At 41.4% G+C, this 20156-nt stretch overlaps 1 protein-coding gene across 2 annotated transcripts in view, besides 1 other annotated feature; it reads left to right on the forward strand.

The window, feature by feature from the left end:
* The window catches only part of TAOK1 (TAO kinase 1), a 161541-nt gene that overhangs the window by 110047 nt on the left and 31338 nt on the right, over positions 1–20156 (forward strand). The window contains exons 13-16 of one of the 2 annotated variants that reach the window (NM_020791.4): positions 2180–2314; positions 7487–7723; positions 10455–10583; positions 17044–17247. In NM_020791.4, the coding sequence (NP_065842.1) occupies positions 2180–2314; positions 7487–7723; positions 10455–10583; positions 17044–17247 (705 nt within the window). The remainder of the gene's footprint in view (positions 1–2179; positions 2315–7486; positions 7724–10454; positions 10584–17043; positions 17248–20156) is intronic. The other variant, NM_025142.1, reaches the window with a different exon arrangement.
* Positions 6469–6669: a silencer, noted in NCBI's record as "peak2781 fragment used in MPRA reporter construct". NCBI's record gives its function as "represses an SCP1 promoter by STARR-seq MPRAs in K562 erythroleukemia cells {active_cell/tissue: K562}" and the evidence as "EXISTENCE:reporter gene assay evidence [ECO:0000049][PMID:32103011]".

Consider the following 20156-nt stretch of genomic DNA (forward strand, 5'->3'; position numbering starts at 1 on the left):
AAACAACCCAAATTATTCATCAACGGATGTATTAACAAATTGTGGTTTATAGGCCAGGTGTAGTGGTTTACGCCTGTAATCCCAGCACTTTGGGAGGCCGAGGCAGGCGGATCATGAGGTCAAGAGATTGAGACCATCCTGGCCAACATGGTGAAACACCGTCTCTACTAAAAATACAAAAATTAGCCAGGTGTGGTGGCACACACCTGTAATCCCAGCTACTCAGGAGTCTGAGACAGAAGAATCGCTTGAACCCAGGAGGCAGAGGTTGCAGTGAGCCGAGATCATGCCACTGCACTCCAGCCTGGTGACAGAATGAGACTCTGTCTCAAAAAAAAAAAAAAACTGTGGTTTTTACATCCAGTAGAATATTACTCAGCTATAAAAAGGAATGAAGTTCCAATACATGCTGCCATATGGTTGAATCTTGAAAACATGTTAAGTGATAAAAGCCTAGACACAAAAGGACAAATATTGTATAATTAAACTTCTATAAAATATCTAAAATAGGCAAATTCATAGTGACAGAAAGTAGGTTAGGAGTTACCAGAGACTGGGTGGAGGTCAAAATAGAGAGTTATTGCTAATGGATGCAGAGTTTCTGTTTGGGTTGATGAAAAAGTTTTGGAAGTAATAGGTGATAGCTGTACAACATTGAGAGTATAATTAATACCACTTAAAATGGTTAAAATGGGCTGGGCACTGTGGCTCATTCCTATAATCCCAGCACTTGGGGAGGCTGATTCAGGAGTATCACTTGAGGCCAGGAGTTCAAGACCAGCCTGGGCAACATAGGGAGACCCCATCTGTTTAAAAAAAAAAAAAAAAAAAAAGAAAAGAAAAGAAAAACAGCCAGGTGTGGCATATGCCTGTGGCCCCATCTACTCAAGAGGCTGAGTAGTGGAGGCACACTGAGTAGTGGAGGATCAGTTGAGCCTGGGAGATCAAGGCTGCAGTTAGCCTTGATCATACCACTGCACTGCATTCTGGGCAACAAAATGGAGACCCTGTCTCAAAAAAAAAAAAAAAAAGATTATTCCCACAATTAATTGGTTGCTACTTAACTGATGTTCTCTTCAGCTAACAAATTGAGTTCAGGGAAGGATATCAGTCCTTCAATTTTTTACAACTGTTTTTGTTTTTGCTTATTTTGGACAGATGGCAGAAGTATTAAAAAGATAGCTCCATTGCTTCCAAAACCCAAGAGCCTTTGAGCAATTAATTTTCTGCTACTCCTATTTAAAACATTGACTATATTGGCTACATGTTTCATCAGCTTTGTTTTCAAGTTATGTTAAAGCTTTTCAATTTTGCATATAATCGGTAGGATATAAATCTAGTCATGTGCCAGGCACAGTGACTCACGCATGTAATCCCAACATATTGGGAGGCCAAGGCAGGCAGATTGCTTGAGCCCAGTAGTTCAAGACCAGCCTGGGCAACATGGCAGAACCCCATCTCTACAAAAAATACAAAAGTTAGCTGGGCATGGTAGTGCATGCCTGTGGTCCCAGCTACCTGGGAGGCTGAGGTGGGAGGATCGCTAGAGCCCAGGAAGTTGACACTGCGGTGAGCCATTGAGTGTTTACCACTGCACTCCAACCTGGGTGACAAAGCGAGATCCTGTCTCAAACAACAAACAAATCAATCAGTCAATCTAGTCATGTGCATTTTCTTGTCCTGAGTCTGTGTACTATTTTATACCCTGTACAAATAATTTCTTCTAATTATATTGAAAATAAAGTTGGACATATTGGCTTCCACCTGTCATCCTAGCACTTTGGAAGGCCAAGGAGGGAGGATTGCTTGAGCCCAGGAATTCTAGACCAGCCTAGTCAACATAGGGAGACCTTGTTTCTAAAAAAATAAAATTAGCCTGGCCTGATGGCCCGTGCCTGTAGTTCCAGCTTCTCAGGAGTCTGAGGTAGGCAGATCGTTTGAGCTTGGGAGGTTGAAGCTACAGTGAGCTATGGTCATACCACTGTACTCCAATCTGGGTGACACAGTGAGACCCTGTTTCTAAAGAAAAAAGAAGACCAGCATTTCTACTTTTTGGCTTTGCTTTTTAAAATTATGTCTTTGAGATTGATTGATCAAGTTGTCTTTAAACTTTAATTTCCATAAAGATTCAAACAAACTGTTCACCTTACATAATATTGTCTTTTTTTTTTTTTCCTAGGAGGAAGAAAATTACAGAGAAGAGGGAGATCCTAGAACAAGAGCATCAGATCCACAATCTCCACCCCAAGTATCTCGTCACAAATCACACTATCGTAATCGAGAACACTTTGCTACTATACGGACAGCATCACTGGTATGTACTTACCCGAATTAGAGATAAATATATTTTTCATGTGGGACCTTGGCAATATAAACTCAAGTATAGCTATATATTGTTTTGTATTTGGGTTTTATTTTACGAAATACTCATTTAATATTTAAGTGCCTATTAAGAGAAAGATGTTATTCAAAGAACTCTGAGAAATGTTAAACTAACAATGTCTTCATGACACGTACACAAAAAACGAGTATGTTAGAATATCTTAAATAAGATAACTACAAGGCACTAAAGAGGAATTCAGATAACTTTTGATTAGGAGCATAAATGAAGTATTTATGAAATAGTTTGAGTATTTAAAATTAGTTGGATTTAGGCACAGCAGGGAGAGGAGAAATGAATGGTATTTCCATATAAGAAGAATGTGGGCCGGGCACAGTGGCTCATGCCTGTAATCCCAGCACTTTGGGAGGCCGAAGCGGGCGGATCACGAGGTCAGGAGATCGAGACCATCTTGGCTAACACGATGAAACCCCATCTCTACTAAAAATACGAAAAATTAGCCGGGCGTGGTGGCAGGAGCCTGTAGTCCCAGCTACTTGAGAGGCTGAGGCAGGAGAATGGTGTGAACCTGGGAGGCAGAGCTTGCGGTGAGCAGAGATCACACCACTGCACTCCATCCTGGGCGACAGAGCAAGACTCTGTCTCAAAAAAAAAAAAAAAAAAAAAGAATGTGGACAGTAAGGAAATATATTATGTGGGGCTCACCAGAAAGAGGGGAATATTGGAAATGGCAAGCAGTACAATGTGGTATACTCTAAATGTCATTCTGATTTTCCAAATAATATGGATTATCTGTTCATTACAAGGATGCTATAATGGGGCACTTAAAATCCTAATCAGACAGATAAGTAAAACCAAAGCATGATAAAGGATACTAAGGATACAACGAAATTACATTAAGATACCATAAGAAAAGTAGGCTATTAGAAAACATAATGTAAAGGCTGGGTGTGGTAGCTCATGCCTGTAATTGTAGCACTTTGGGAGGCTGAGGTGGGCGGACCACTTGAGCTCATGAGTTTGAGACCAGCCTGGGCAACATGGTGAAACTCCATCTCTACAAAAAATACAAAATTCAGGTGGGGTGCGGTAGCTCACACCTCTAATCCCAGCAATTTGGGAGGCTGAAGTAAGTGGATCAACTGAGGTCAGGAGTTCAAGACCAGCCTGGCCAACATGGCGAAACCCCGTCTCTGCTAAAAATAGAAAAATCAGCTGGGCATGGTGGCGTGTGCCTGTAATCCCAGGTACTCAGGAGGCTGAGGCTGGAGAATCGCTTGAACCCGGGAGGCGGAGGCTGCAGTTAGCTGAGATAGTCCCTCTGCACTCCAGCCTGGGTGACAGAGGTAGACCCTATCTCAAAAAAAAAAAAAAATTTCAGCTGGGTGTGGTGGCATGTGCCTGTAGTCCCATATACTTGGGAGACTGAGTCAGGAGGATTGACTGAGCCCAAGAGATGGAGGTTGCAGTGAGCCGAGATCACGCCACTGCACTCCAGCCTGGGTGACAGTGCCAGACCCTGTCTCAAAAAAAAAAAAAAAAAAAAAAGGAAAGGAAGAAAAGAAAAGAAAGAAAGAAAAGAAGAGAGAGAGAAAAGAAAGGAAGGAAGAAAGGAAAGGAAGGAAATGAGGAAATGAGGCCAGGCGTGGTGGCTCACACCTGTAATCCCAGCACTTTGGGAGGCTGAGGCGGGTGGATCACCTGAGGTCAGGTTGCGAGACCAACCTGGCCAACATGGTGAAACCTCATCTCTACTAAAAACTACAAAAATTAGCTGGGCGTGATGGCGGGCACCTGTAATCCCGGCTACTTGGGAGGCTGAGGCAGGAGAATTGCTTGAACCCAGGAGGCGGAGGTTGGAGTGAGCTGAGATCGCACTATTGCACTCCAGCCTGGGCGTCAGAGCGAGACTCTGTCTCAAAAACTAAAAAATAAAAAAAAGAAAAGAAAATATGATGGGGAAAAAAAGATATGATAGCTATCTGACTTCTCAACTATGTAATAAGCAGATGTTGTAAATCCTATGCTGTAGTTCATGAATCTATATGACATGTGGGGTCGGGAACATAGTACCCTACCATAAGTCAGGTTATTCCTACTATTCTGCAACATGTAAATAACACTTTGAACAGAGCAAGTGGTAAAGATTGCTTAATTTTTGCATGACTATTTTGATAAATATGTTGAGAAGGACCAGCTCAAAGGAAAACCTCTTGGTAACTTGGCATAAGTTAAATGTTTCCCAAGAAAGTGTTCTCTCCCAAAGTTTGGCTTCCTCAAATCAATTAAGGACATTTTAAATTTATGGATTTAATGAATCAAAAATCTGAAAAAGATTTATATTTTTAAAGCCAGTAGTTTCATTTACTTCACTTAAAATATTCAGAGCATAAGTAGTTTTTTAATACAAATAAGCATAGCTATATTATTCATTATAAGTGCTATATACCATAACTTAGTCTACCGTCTCCTGCCTTGGATTTTTTTCATACAATAAAATGCACAGATCTTAGGTATTCAATTTGAAGAGTTTTTACAATTCTATACACCTGCCTTAACCGTCTGAAACAAGGTACAGTTATCCCTCAGTATCTGTGAGGGATTGGTTCCAGGACTCTCCACAAATCCCAAAATCCACCGATAACCCAAGTGCCTTATATAAAATGGTGGGCCGGGTGGAGTGGCTCACAGCTCTAATCCCAGCACTTTGCGAGGCCAAGGCAGGCAGATCACTTGAGGTCAGGAGTTCGAGACCAGCCTGGCTAACATGGTGAAACCCTGTCTCTACTAAAAATACAAAAATTAGCCGGGCATGATGGCAGGCGCCTGTAATCCCAGCTCCTCGGGAGGTTGAGGCAGGAGAATTGCTTGAACCTGAGAGGCGGAGGTTGCAGTGAGCTGAGATTGCGCCATTGCACTCCAGCCTGGGGGACAAGAGCAAGACTTCGTCTCAAAAAATAAAAAAAAGAAATCAGGAGTTCAAGACCAGCCTGGCCAACATGGTGAAACCCTGTCTCTACTAAAAATACAAAAAATTAGCTGGGTATGGTGGTGCGTGCCAGTAGTCCCAGCTACTCAGGAGCCTGAGGTGGGAGAATCACTTAAACCTAGGAGGCAAAGGCTGCAGTGAGCTGAGATCGTGCCACTGTACTCCAGCGTGGGCAACCCACCGACCCTGTCTTTGAAAAAGAATTGAAAACGTTATCAACAAGATGAAAGATAACAAGTATTGGCAAAAAGGGGAACTGTTACACATTGTTGGTGATAACCTAAATTAGTATGGCCATTTTGGAAAATGGTGTGGAGGTTCCTCAAAAAACTAAAAATAGAACTACCATATGATCCAGTAATTCCACTTCTGGGTACATATTTAAAGGAACTGAAATTAATATGTTGAAGGGATATCTGCACTCCCATGTTCATTGCAGCATTATTCACAATAGCTAAGTCATGGAATCAACCTAAGTGCCTATCAGTGGATGAGTGGATAAAGAAAATGTAGCATATATACACAATGGAATACCATTCAGCCTTAAAAAGGAAAAATCCTGTCATTTGCAAGAACATGAATGAATCTGGAGGATTATGCTAAGTGAAATAAGGCAAGCACAGAAAGACAGATACCACATGATCTCACTTTTATGTGGAATCTAGAAAAATAAAGTTGAACTCATAGAATAGAGGTGGAGAGTAGAGTGATAAGTTACTAGAATTTAGGGAGAGAGAGAAATGGGGAGTTGTTGATCAAAATGTACAAAGTTTCAGAAAGATAGGAGGAATAGGTTTGGAGATCTTTTGCATAGCCAGGTGACTATAGTCAACAATAATATATTGAATATTTTGAAATAATTAAAAGTAGATCTCAAATGTCTCACCATAAAAAATGATGCATAAGGTGATGGATATGTTAGATTGATTTAATTTAATATGTTGAATACATATATCAGTATATCACATGTACTCCATAAATGTATACAATTATGATTTGTCAAAACATTAACATTTTTTAAAGCAATTGAAAACAGGTACTCAGACAAGTGCATGTACACACAGTCACAGCAGCAGTTTTCACAGTAGCCAAAAGATGGAAAGAACACAAATGTCCATCAATGGATGAGTGGATAAACAAATTGTGCTATATATGTACAGTGGAATTTTATTCAGCTATAAAAGGAAATGAAATACTGATACATACTACAACATGGATAAACTTCAAAAACATGCTAAGTGAAAGAAACCAGCCATAAAAACTCATATGACACTACTTATATGATATATGCAGAATAAGTATATCTATAGAGACAAAAAGCAGATTGATGGTTACCAGGAGGGGAGAATGGAGAGCAACTGCTTAATAGGTATGGGATTTTCTTCTGAGGTGATAAACATGCTTTATAACTAGATAAAGGTGATAGTTGCATGGCATGGTAAATACACTAAACATATTGAATTGTTCACTTTAAGGTGATTAATTTTATGTCTTGTATTTTATCTTGATTTTTAAATTGAGGTTTTTTTTTTGTTTTTTTTTTTCTTTGTAGTCAGTGTTTTTTGTGTCCTGCCCAAGAAGTATTTGCTTACTCCAAGGTTATAAAGATATTTTGTGTTTCTGCTTTCTGATTCTGGGTTTTACATTCAGTTCAAATGATCCTTCTCAAATTAATTTTTATATATGACATAAGTGATATAGGGAGTCAAGGTTTATTTGTTTTTTCCTATGTAAAGAACCACTTGTTTCAGCAGGATTTGCTAAAAACACTATCCTCTGAATTAACTTGACTTTCTTGGTAGAAAAATCAATTGAACATATGTGGATCTCTTTCTAGTTTTTATTCTATTTCCTTGATCTACTTAGCCTATCTTAAAGCCAGTATCACATTGTCTTGATTACTATAGTGCTGCATATCCTCCAAATATTTTTTTTCCTCAAGATTGTTTTGGATATTCTAGGTTCTTTTATATCCCCATATAAATTTTAGAACCAGTCAATTTCTTTAAAAGACTTGTTGGAAATTTCCTTGGAATCTGCTAACATTGGGATATTTTACACTAATTCCCTACTTAGTTAATATAGAATTGTCTAAAATGCTTTTCGAAGAAGAATGTTTTATTTTCTTCTTTTCCTTACATTATTTGTATGTCTAGGTTACGAGGCAAATGCAAGAACATGAGCAGGACTCTGAGCTTAGAGAACAAATGTCTGGCTATAAGCGAATGAGGCGACAACATCAAAAGCAACTGATGACTCTGGAAAACAAGCTAAAGGCTGAGATGGATGAACATCGCCTCAGATTAGACAAAGATCTTGAAACTCAGCGTAACAATTTTGCTGCAGAAATGGAGAAACTTATCAAGAAACACCAGGCTGCCATGGAGAAAGAGGTGGCTTATTCAGTATTATTACTTTGCTTATTTTAGGTTTTGAATGTCTCAGAATTAACCAACATGGCAGTTTGATGTTAGCGTATCTGTTCCCGTGAACCAAGCAAATTGGGGAAAAGGAGAAGCATTTATGTGACTTATATAAAGGTTTCTGTAAATTGATATTACAAGAAAGGGTGGCACCTGTGTGTTTTATCTCTCACTAATTTTGTGTGTGGGTCATTTAAAACAAATCAGTCTTAAAACTGTTCATTGGAGTAGTCCACTTTATAGTTTTTGTAATAGCCAACAAAATTTTGAGTCTGAAAAATTGATGTGTTTTAATATCAAGTACTAGGTCTGGGAACTAATAAGACATGGGACCATTTCCTGATTATTGATAGTTTTGTAGTGTCACAATAGGTAAGTTACTCAGTTACTTTAAGCTTTTTGTTTCCTGGTTATCTGAGGAGTTTGCTAAATCTCCTATCATTAGGTGATTTAGGTCTCAAAAAGTCACTTTTATTCTCTTTTTTGTATTTTTTGGAAACTACCCTTGAATTTCTGGCAGCATTTTAATATCAGAATGATTTAAGATTACTGTAATAAATACAGATAATGTTGAAGATTATAAGTTATGAAAGATTCAGATTCAGATTGAGCTCATTTGATTATTGACAAATAATTGTCATTATTTTACATGATAAAAGTTAGTTTTTAGGATTTTTGTTATGTGAAACCTTTTCTTCTAATGTTTTTGGTGTCCCATTGTTTTACTTTTTTTGATAGCCATGTTTGTCAAGTAGAATGTAGACTTCTCAGTAAATTCACACAATATCATTAAAATATGTCCAGGTAGTCTGCAGTGAGGCATTATTTATCATAGCTACCCTCTTCTCCCTTTTCACAAAAAAAGAACATTCTTATAGTAGTAGGGACCCTGACAAAATAATTTATAGTATAAATACATACTTGATTTTGAAATAATTTGATGAAACAATGTATACATATTTAAAATCCTCTGGGCATTGGATATTTTCATTTTTTTATTTTTTATTTTATTTTTATTATTTTTTGAGACAGAATCTCCCTCTGTCGCCCAGGCTGGAGTGCAGTGGTGTGATCTCAGCTCACTGCAACCTCTGCTCTCCAAGTTCAAACAATTCTCCTGCCTCAGCCTCCCAAGTAGCTGAGACTACAGGTGCATCTACCATGCCTGGCTAATTTTTCATCTACCATGCCTGGCTAATTTTTGTATTATTTTTATTTTAGTAGAAAAGGGGTTTCACCATGTTAATCAGGCTGGTCTCAAATCCCTGACCTCAGGTGACCTTCCTGCCTCGGCCTCCCAAAGTGCTGGGATTATAGATGTGAGCCACCACACTTGATAGATATTATTTTTAATAGCTTGGGAAAAGGCGATACTAACATATTTAGGAAAACAATTCCTGAAGCAGATATGCAATGTGGTAACAAATTTGTTTTAAAAGTATATAACCAGGATGGGTGCAGTGGCTCACACCTGTAATCCCACCACTTTGGGAGGCCGAGGTGAGAAGATTACTTGAGCCCAGGAGTTCAAGACCAGCCTGGGCAACATGGGAAGACTCTGTCTCCACACACAAAAAAAATAAATTAGCTGAGCAGGGTGGCATACGCCTTTAGTTCCAGCTACTCAGGAGGCTGAGGTGGGAAGATCACTTGAGCTCAGGAGGAGGCTGCAATGAGCCATGATTGTACCACTGCACTCCAGCCTGGGTGACAGAGTGAGACCCTGTAACATATTTTTTGAGACAGGCACTCGCCCTGTTACCCAGCTGGTCTTGAACTCCTGGGCTCAGGTGATCCTCCCACCTCAGCCTCTCAAAGTGTTGGGATTACAGGTATGAGCCACAATACCTACTTAATTATATACATGCAAATATATGTGTGTATGTGTATGTGTGTGTGTTTGAGACATGAACATTTATAGAAAAAATTAGAGGCCGGGCATGGTGGCTCACGCCTGTAATCCCAGCACTTTGGGAGGCCGAGGTGGGTGGATCACCTGAGCTCAGGAGTTCAAGACCAGCTTGGCCAACATGGCAAAACCCCATCTCTTCTAAAAATACAAAAATTAGCCAGGCGTGGTGTCACACACCCGTAGTCACAGCTACTTGGGAGGCTGAGGCAGGAGAATCACTTGAACCCGGGAAGCGGAGGTTGCAGTGAGCCGAGCTCGTGCCACTGCACTGCAGCCAGGGTAACAGAGCAAGACTCCATCTCAAAAATAATAATTTTAAAAAAAGAAAAAATTGCAAAAGATATGCACCAAAATGTTTACATTGGTTATCTCTGGATGCCAAAATTATGTAAGATGTTTCTTGTTTTTCTGTATTTTGTAAATATTCTACAATGAACATGTATTGCATATAGAATCAGAAATAAAATATAGCATTTGTTTTGTTTTACTGAGGGATTGAGGGTTGGGAGGAAGGTATACTTCTGTTAAATGAAATAAAAAGTTGACAACATTTTTGACCCTGTAAGAGATCAACATTTCAAAGATGAGTTTCATCTTACTGATTCTATGAAGTTCAAATTATAAGGATGCCAAGTAGCACATGTTTATAATTTGGTTCAGTCTTTTATTTTGGTAATGTTTCTAATGATTTCTTGTTCTTAGAAAATAAAAGGTATTCTTAATGATGTATATTAAACCACTACTTTATCTACTTAACTAAATTTGATTCATTTTTTAAACTTCATATAGGCTAAAGTGATGTCCAATGAAGAGAAAAAATTTCAGCAACATATTCAGGCCCAACAGAAGAAAGAACTGAATAGTTTTCTCGAGTCCCAGAAAAGAGAGTATAAACTTCGAAAAGAGCAGCTTAAAGAGGTACTTATGTCATAAAACTTTCCAAGCAAATTTTCTGCTTATTAATTATATCCAATGGTGACCAACTCATAGAAGCATTAGGATAAAATTATCTTTTGTTGTTTATGGTCACTAAATGGGTATTAGTTTAAATGATGACATTGATTATAATCAGTTACCCTTAACTGAGTCATTTAGTTGAGTAGGATTTAAAATGAATCATTTCCTGAAAATATACTTTTTTTATGTTTTTATTTTATATTTATTTATTTATTTTTGAGACAAAGAGTCTCGCTCTGTCACCCAGGCTCGAGTGCAGTGGCGCGCTCTCGGCTCACTTCAAGCTCTGCCTACTGGGTTCACACCATTCTCCTGCCTCAGCCTCCCTAGTAGCTGGGACTACAGGCGCCCACCACCACACCCGGCAAACATTTGGTATTTTTTTTAGTAGAGACGGGGTTTCACCATGTTAGCCAGGATGGTCTCGATCTCCTGACCTTGTGATCCGCCTGCCTCGGCCTCCCAAAGTGCTAGGATTACAGGCATGAGCCATCGTGCCTGGCCTTATGTTTTTATTTTTTGTGTGTATTTTTTGAGACAGTCTTATTCTGTTCCACGGGCTGGAGTGCAGTGGCACAATCATAGCTCACTGCAGCTTCGACCTCCCGTGCTCAAGCAATCCTGCTTTAGCCTTCCAAGTAGCTGGGAACACAAGCACACACCACCACTCCTGGCTGATTTTTAAATTTATTTTTTGTAGAGACAGGGTCTTGCCATGTTGCCTAGTCTGGTCTCAAACTCCTGGGCTCAAGCAGTCCGCCTACCTCGGCTTCCCAAAGTGCTGGGATTATAGGCATAAGCCACCGCACCTGATCACATTTATTACTTTAAAAGTAAACAATAATGTCTTACTTTTGGATCAGAAGATTATAATAATTTGTTTTTATGCCAATTTAAATGTAGAATAAGGGAGATATTTGCTTATCAGGTTTTTTTTAAGTAGAATATGCTGATTATTTCTTTGTGGCTACAGGGTTTCATATTTGTTTGCCCTTTCTTGTGCTGCCCGGCCTCCCCCCTACCCCCCGCTTTTTTTTTGAGACGGAAGTCTCACTCTGTCATACAGGCTGGAGTGCAGTGGTGTGATCTTGGCTCACTGCAGCCTCCCCTCCCCCCAGGTTGAAAGGATTCTCCTGCCTCAACCCCCCCGAGTAGCTGGGATTACAGGTGTGTGCCACCATGCCTGGCTAATTTGTATATATTTTTTTAGTAGAGACGGGGTTTCACCATGTTAGCCAGGCTGGTTTCAAACTCCTGACCTCAGACAATCTACCCACCTCGGCCCCCCAAAGTGCTGGGATTACAAGAGTTAGCCACCACTCCCGGCTCTTGTGCTGCTTTTTGTTTGTTTGGTTTGGTTTGGTTTGAGATGGAGTCTCACTCTGTTGCCCAGGCTGGGGTGCAGTGGCATGATCTCGGCTCACTGCAACCTTTGCCGCCTGGGTTCAAGTGATTCTCCTGCCTCAGCCTCTTGAGTAGCCGGCATTACAGGCGACTGCCACCACGCCTGGCTGATTTTTGTATTTTTAGTAGAGATGAGGGTTTCACCATCTTGGCCAGGCTGGTCTTGAGCTCCTGACCTTGTGATCCACCCGCCTCAGCCTCCCAAAGTGCTGGGACTACAGGTGTGAGCCACAACATCCAGCTGACAACTTTTTTTTTTTTTTTGGAGACAGAGTCTTGCTCTGTCACCCAGGCTGGAGTGCAGTGGCGCGATCTCGGCTCACTGCAAGCTCTGCCTCCCAGGTTCACACCATTCTCCTGCCTCCGGCTCCCGAGTAGCTGGGACTACAGGGACCCACCACCACGCCCGGCTAATTTTTTGTATTTTTGGTAGAGACTGGATTTCACCATGTTAGCCAGGATGGTCTCAATCTCCTGACCTCATGATCTGCTCGCCTTGGCCTCCCAAAGTGCTGGGATTACAGGCGTGAGCCACCATGCCTGGCCCGACAACTTCTTAAAGAGGATCATTATTCAAGATAGTCACTAGGACAGAAAAATGATATGTCTTTTAATTTACCCACCCCCCCCCCCGTCTTATAGGATGATTGAAATTTTTAGTTCATATAATTAATTAGCATACTGTGATACATCGATTGATTTTGATAAAATAAGTATAATCAATTTGATATTAATGATTTTTGTATGTGTAGGAATTTGCCTTATAATCAGATATGTATGTCTTGTTGTGTACCTATTGGTGGCACAAAGACTTGCTCTATACCTTGCCACGTGAGCTTCACTGACAAGATTTTTACAACTCTAAATGGTATAATTTGCAGTATACTCCCATGACTATAATTCGAAAGCCAAACTCTACTGGAAGTTTGAGTTTGAAACAATAGTAAATAGAGTTTCCAACTATAAATAAATCTCCAACAAAATGCAGTTGTTTTGTTTTCCAGTGAAATCAGACTTTAGCTTTATGGATTAGTTTGTTTAGATAATCCTTTAGGCATATACCATATAGTCAAACAAATAAATGCATTTTCTTTTAGAAGCTAAGTTGTTGTGTATGTATTTGTGTTCATTTAGAATAATGATTCTCAGTAGAGAGGAAGGGACATATCAGAGTCTTGGAGGGGAGAGTTCCCTGGCAGAAGATTTTGAAAAAGATACCCAGGTATGGCCAGGCGCGGTGGCTCACCCCTGTAATCCCAGCACTTTGGGAGGCCGAGGCGGGCAAATCACAAGGTCAGGAGTTTGAGACTAGCCTGCCCAATATGGTGAAACACTGTCTCTACTAAAAATACAAAAAAATTAGCCGGGCGTGGTGGCACATACTTATAATCCCAGCTACTCAGGAGGCTGAGGCAGGAGAATTGCTTGAACCCGGGAGGCAGAGGTTGCAGTGAGCCGAGATCGTGCCACTGCACTCCAGCCTGGGTGACAGAGTGAGACTCCATCTCAAAAAATAAATTAAAAAAAATAAAAAATAAAAAAATTAGCCAAGCATGGTGGCACACAACTGTCATCCCAGCTACACAAGAGGGTGAGGCAGGAGAATCCCTGTAACTTGGAAGGTGGAGGTTGCAGTGAGCTGGGCCACTGCACTGCAGCCTGAGCGACAGAGCTAGACTCTGCCTCGAAAAAGAAAAAGATAACCAGGTATATAGTCTACTTGTGTGCCCATGTTATTCCTTTCTCTTCCCATAGCGTGCATACACATAAACTCTTAAGTAATAATTTATGTGCTTTTTATTTTTATGTGTTTGAATATTTTATTAACTAAAGGGAAAGACCATGAATGAGGTCTAGTAGTCTCTGAAAAATGATCCTATACTAAGAAAAATGAGCTATTTATATTCTAAACAATGTTGATGGTGTTTTGTTTTGCTTTTTTTGAGACAGGGTTTCGCTCTGTCACCCATGCTGGAGTGCAGTGGCACAATACTGCTCACTGCAGCCTTTACCTCCCAGGCTGAAGCAGTTTTCCTACCTCACCCTCCCAAGTAGTTGGGACCACAGACGCATACCACCATGCCCAGCTAATTTTATAATTTATTTTTTGTAGAAACAGTGTTGCCATATTCTCCAAACTGGTCTCAAACTCCTGGGCTCAAGCAATCCTCCGGCCTTGGCGTCCCAAAATGCTGGGATTACAGATGGATGTGAGCCACCATTCCTGGCCACAGAATGCTAATACTAGTATATTTTTTACCAAAAGAGTATCAAGGCCAGAGTGGTGGGTGGCACATGCTTATAACAGCACTTTGGGAGGCTGAGGTGGGAGGATCGCTTGAGCCCAGGAGTTCAAGACCAGCCTGGGCAACATGTTGAGACCCTGTGTCTAGCAAAAAAAAAAAAAAAAATCATTAGCCAGGCATGGTGGGACACACCTGTGGTCCTAGCTACTCAGTAGTCTTAGGTGGGAAGATCACTGGAACCTGGGAGGTCCATGCTGCAGGGAGCTGAATTCGTGCCAGTGCATTCCAGCCTGGGTCACAGAGTGAAATTCGATCTAAAAAAAAAAAAAAAAAAAAAAAAATTCTAGTTTGCTCCATTGAGTATATTGCCAGTTTTTTCACATTGCTCAATATAAATGCATTCTTATTGAGATAGTTTATGAGCTGGTATGTAAAACAATGTGGAAAATCATTAATTTTGATTTGTTCAGTGGTTATTAATGCTGAAAATTAAATACCATTCATAAAGTATGTCTCTATTCTCCCATGGTTTTGTTTATTTTCCATTTAATTTCCAGTTTTCTTATGCTGAGTCCTTCCATAATTTTGCCAAAAACTTAGCATCAAGGATGTCAAAAACCAAGAAGCGAGATGTTTAACTGTATTTTTGTCCTAGTTCACTCGTGATTTTTACCTGAAAGTACTATCTTCTGTCTCTTCTTGGGAAGGTTTTAAAGAAGGATGTGTTTTACTTTATTAACCAATCATTGTGTACTTCGAAGTTAGGAACCATCAGAAACGTAGCTGTGCAGAGACAAAAGATACACATGTTTTCTGGTGTACATATCTCTCTTTCCTTTCCGATTGAGTGGGTAACTCAAGAAAGATCTAAAGGCCGGGTGCAGTGGCTCACACGTGTAATCCCAGTACTTTGGGAGGCTGAGGCGGGTGGATCACAGGGTCAGGAGATCGAGACCATACTGGCTAACATGGTGAAATCTCGTCTCTACTAAAAATACAAAAAATTAGCTGGGCATGCTGGCAGATGCCTGTAATCCCAGCTACTCAGGAGGCTGAGGCAGGAAAAATCACTGGAACCCAGGAGGTGGAGGTTGCAGTGAGCCGAGATCGCGCCACTGCACTCCAGCCTGGGCGACAGAGCAAGACTCTGTCTCAAAAAAAAAGAAAGATGTAAATACCACTTGCCTTCTAGAGGGCATTGCCCTGCCTGAGCATTAGAGAAAAAACACAATTAAGAACTTTTATTTGTTTATTTTAATTTTTATGTATGTATTTATTTATTTATTTATTTTGAGACGGAGTTTTGCTCTTGTTGCCCAGGCTGGAGTGCAATGGTGCGATCTCGGCTCACTGCACTGCAACCTCCGCCTCCCAGGTTCAAGTGATTCTCCTGCCTCAGCCTCCCGAGTAGCTGGGATTGCAAGCCTGCACCACCATGCCTGGCTAATTTTGTATTTTTAGTAGAGATAGGGTTTCTCTATGTTGGTCAAGCTGGTCTTGCGCTCCCAACCTCAGGTGATCTGCCCACCTCTGCCTCCCAAAGTGCTGGGATTACAGGCGTGAGCCACCGCGCCCAGCCAAGAACTTTTATTTAAAATTTACTGATGCAAAATGATAATATTCACGTAGGTAATTTTTATGGGGTTTTCGTTGTGTTGTTTTTGTTTTTCTGAGACTGGGTTTCACTCTGTCACGCAGGCTGGAGTGCAGTGGCACAATCTTGGCTCACTGCAACCTCTGCCTCCCAGGTTCAAGCAACGCTCCTGCCTCAGCCTCCCAAGTAGCTGAGACTCCAGACACGTGCCACCACACCTGGCTAATTTTTTTTTTTTTTTTTTGAGACTGAGTTTCGCTCTTCTTGCCCAGGCTGGAGTGCAGTGATGCCATCTCAGCTTACTGCAACCTCCACCTCCTGGGTTCAAGCGATTCTCTGCCTCACCCTCCCAAGTAGCTGACATTACAGGTGTGCACCACCATGTCTGGCTAATTTTGTATTTTTGGTAGAGGCCGGGTTTCTCCATGTTGGTCACGCTGGTCTCGAACTCCCAACCTCAGGTGATCTGCCTGCCTCAGCCTCCCAAAGTGCTGAGATTATAGGTGTAAGCCATTGCACCCGACCCCTGTTTTTTTTGTTGTTGTTGTTGTTGGTTTTTTTGTTTTGTTTTGTTTTTGAGACGGAGTTTCACCAAAGAGTGCAGTGGTGTGATCTTGACTCACTGCAACCCCTGCCTCCTGGGCTCAAGCAATTCTCCTGCCTCAGCCTGCTGAGTAGCTGGGAGTACAGGCCCATGCCACTGTACCCAGCTAATTTTTTTTTTTTTTTGAGACAGAGTCTCGCTCTGTCACCCAGGCTGCAGTGCAGTGGCGAGATCTCAGCTCACTGCAAGCTCCGCCTCCCAGGTTCACACCATTCTCCTGCCTCAGCCTCCCAAGTAGCTGGGACTACGGGCACCCGCCACCATGCCCGGCTAATTTTTTTTGTATTTTTAGTAGAGACAGGGTTTCACCGTGTTAGCCAGGATGGTCTCGATCTCCTGACCTCATGATCTGCCCGCCTCAGCCTCCAAAAGTACTGGAATTACAGGTGTCAGCCACCACGCCCAGCCTAATTTTGTATTTTAGTAGAGACAGTTTCGCCATGTTGGCCAGGCTAGTCTCAAACTCCTGACCTCAGGTGATCTGCCCACCTCGGCCTCCCAGAGTGCTGGGATTACAGGCGTGAGCCACCGTGCCAGGCCTATTTTTACCTGAGTTGTTTTTTATGTTGCCAGGAGCTAAATGAAAACCAGAGTACCCCCAAAAAAGAAAAACAGGAGTGGCTTTCAAAGCAGAAGGAGAATATACAGCATTTCCAAGCAGAAGAAGAAGCTAACCTTCTTCGACGTCAAAGACAATACCTAGAGCTGGAATGCCGTCGCTTCAAGAGAAGAATGTTACTTGGGCGTCATAACTTAGAGCAGGACCTTGTCAGGGAGGTAAGTTTGAGTGATGAGAAATTTTAAATCCTTTATCAAAAGAATCTTTCCTGAAAATATTCCAATTCCATTCTAGTCTCAGGGACTTTGCACTTATACTTGCCTCTGTCTGAATCATTCTTCCCCAGATATTCACATGGATTGTTTGCTCCCTGTATATCTTTACTCAGATGTCATTTCCTCAAAATCTCTTTCTTAACCACCAAAATTTTTTTTTTCAAGACAGTCTCTCCATGTCGCCAAGTATGGAGTGCAGTGGCTCCATCTTGGCTCAGTGCAACCTCCACCTCCTGGGTGCAAGTGATTTTCGTGCCTCAGCCTCCCAAATAGCTAGGATTACAGGTGTGCACCACCACACCCAACTAATTTTTGTATTTTTAGTAGACATGGGCTTTCGCCATGTTGGCCAGGCTGTTCTTGAACTCCTGGCCTCATGCGGTCTGCCCGTCTCAGCCTCCCAAAGTGCTAGGATTACAAGCATGAGCTACCATGCCTGGACTGCACCACCACATTCTTCTGCTTTCTTTAAATATTATTCTTTGCAGCCAGGTATGGTAACTGTAATCCGAACACTTTGGGAGGCCAAGGCAGGCAGATCACTTGATCCTAGGAGTTTGAGACCAGACAGGGCAACATGACAAATCCCTGTCTCTACAAAAAATATATGTATACAAAAAAATTAGCTGGGTGTTGTGGTGTGCACCTGTAGTGCCAGCTACCTGGGAGGCTGAAGCATGAATATTGCCTGAGCCCAGGAGGTTGAGGTTGCAGTGAGCCATGATCATGCCACTGCACTCCAGCCTGAGCTACAGAGCAAGACCCTGTCTCAAACAGACAGACAACTAACTAAATACATATGGTCTTCTTTGCACTCTCTTTCTCACATGAACATGTGTGTGTTCACAAAACCATGTGTTTCTGTAGGGTAGGGAGGTTGTTCCTGACTCCCTCACTACAATGGAAGTTTTATGAAATCACGGAATTGATGCAATTTTTTATATCTCCAGTTTCTGACTCACAGTAGGCATTCAATAAATATTAACCAATCCACAAATGAAAAATTTAAAATGTTGATTTTTATTTTTTATTTTTACTTTATCTATTTATTTATTTATTTATTTATTTATTTTGAAACAGAGTCTCGCTCTTTCACCCAGGCTGAAGTACAGTGGCAATCTCGGCTCATTGCAACCTCCGCCTCCCAGGTTCAAGCAATTCTCCTGCCTCAGCCTCTCAAGTAACTGGGACTACAGGCGTGCATCACCACACCCAGCTAATTTTTGTATTTTTAGTAGAGACGGGGTTTTGCCATGTTGGCCTGGCTAGTCTCCAATTCCCAACCTCAGGTGATCCACCCACCTCGGCCTCCCAAAGTGCTGGGATTACAGGTGTGAGCCACAGTGGCCAGCCTTGATTTTTACATATGAGGAAATTCACTGGGCAGTTTTTGCCTCTGACCTGAAATGGGTTCCATGAAGTGTGTGCTGCCCTTAAATACATTTTTATCATCATGTAATTATTAATTGGGTAAATGTTGTAGAAACTCTTCTGCCAATGAAAACAGTTATTCTTGGCTGGGTGTGATGGTTCATGGCTGTGATCCTAGCACTTTGGGAGGCCAAGGCAGGTGGATCACTTGAGGTCAGGAGTTTGAGACCAGCCTGGCCAACATAGTGAAACCCCATCTCTACTTTTAGTAGAGATACAAACAAATGAGCCGGACGAGGTGGCGGGCGCCTATAATTCCAGCTACTCAGGAGGCTGAGGCATGAGAATCAACTGAACCCAAGAGGCGGAGGTTGCAGTGAGCTGAGATCGCGCTGCTGCACTCCGGTCTGGGCGACAGAGCAAGTCTGCATCTCAGAAAAAAAAAGAAAAGAAAAGAAAAAAATTATTCTCATTATTAGGATACCTGTGAGTATAGATAAATTTATTTCTGAGAGTGGGTTGAAATAAGCTTGTAATATAGCATAATTGTGCGAGTTTACTAATAAATTCAAATTAAAACAGTTGCATCCATTATGTAAGAAAAATGTAAAAGATACAATCAATCCTAGTAATAGCATGTGTTAACAGACACTATTAGTAAGAATATAAATTGATATTGCCCCTTTGGAGCAGGATTTAACAGTAGCTTTTAAAATTTAATACGCACATAGCATTTATCCATCAAATCCACTTCTAGAACTCTGTCCTACAGAAATAGTAACATGATTCTGTGATACAGTATACATAGATATTTATTGAAACTTTTTTCATAAAAGTGAAACATGGGCTGGAGCAGTGGCTCTCACCTGTAATCCTTGAGGTCAAGAGTTCGAGGACAGCCTGGTCAACGTGGTAAAACTCTATCTCCACTAAAAATATTTTAAAAATGAGCTGGGTGTGGTGGTGCATGCCTGTAATCCCAGCTACTCAAGAGGCTGAGGCACAAGAATTGCTTGAACCTGGGAGGCGGAGGTTGCAGTGAGCTGAAATCACACCACCGCACTCCAGCCTGGGCGACAGAGTGAGACTCTGTCTGAAGAAAAAAAAAAAAAAAAGTGAAACATGGAAACAGCTTAAATGTCCAACCACAGAGGAATGATTGAAAGAATTAAGGCGTCACAAAGCAGTAGGTTACAATGAAACTTTAAAAATTTCTATGTACTGGCTGGGTGCAGTGGCTCACACCTATAATTCCAACACTTTGGGAGGTTGAGGTGGGAGGATCACTTGAGGCCAGGAGTTTGAGACTGTCCTGGGCAACATCGCAAGACCCTGTCTCTACAAATTTTTTTTTTTTGAGACTCTATTGCCCAGGCTGGAATGCAGTGGTGTGATCTCGGCTCACTGCAACCTTTGCCTCCTGGGTTCAAGCCATTCCCCTGCCTCAGACTCCCAAGTACCTGGGACTACAGACATGCACC

The sequence above is a fragment of the Homo sapiens genome, chromosome 17 (genome assembly GCF_000001405.40).
Source record: "Homo sapiens chromosome 17, GRCh38.p14 Primary Assembly".
Classification (NCBI taxonomy): Eukaryota; Metazoa; Chordata; class Mammalia; order Primates; family Hominidae; genus Homo; species Homo sapiens.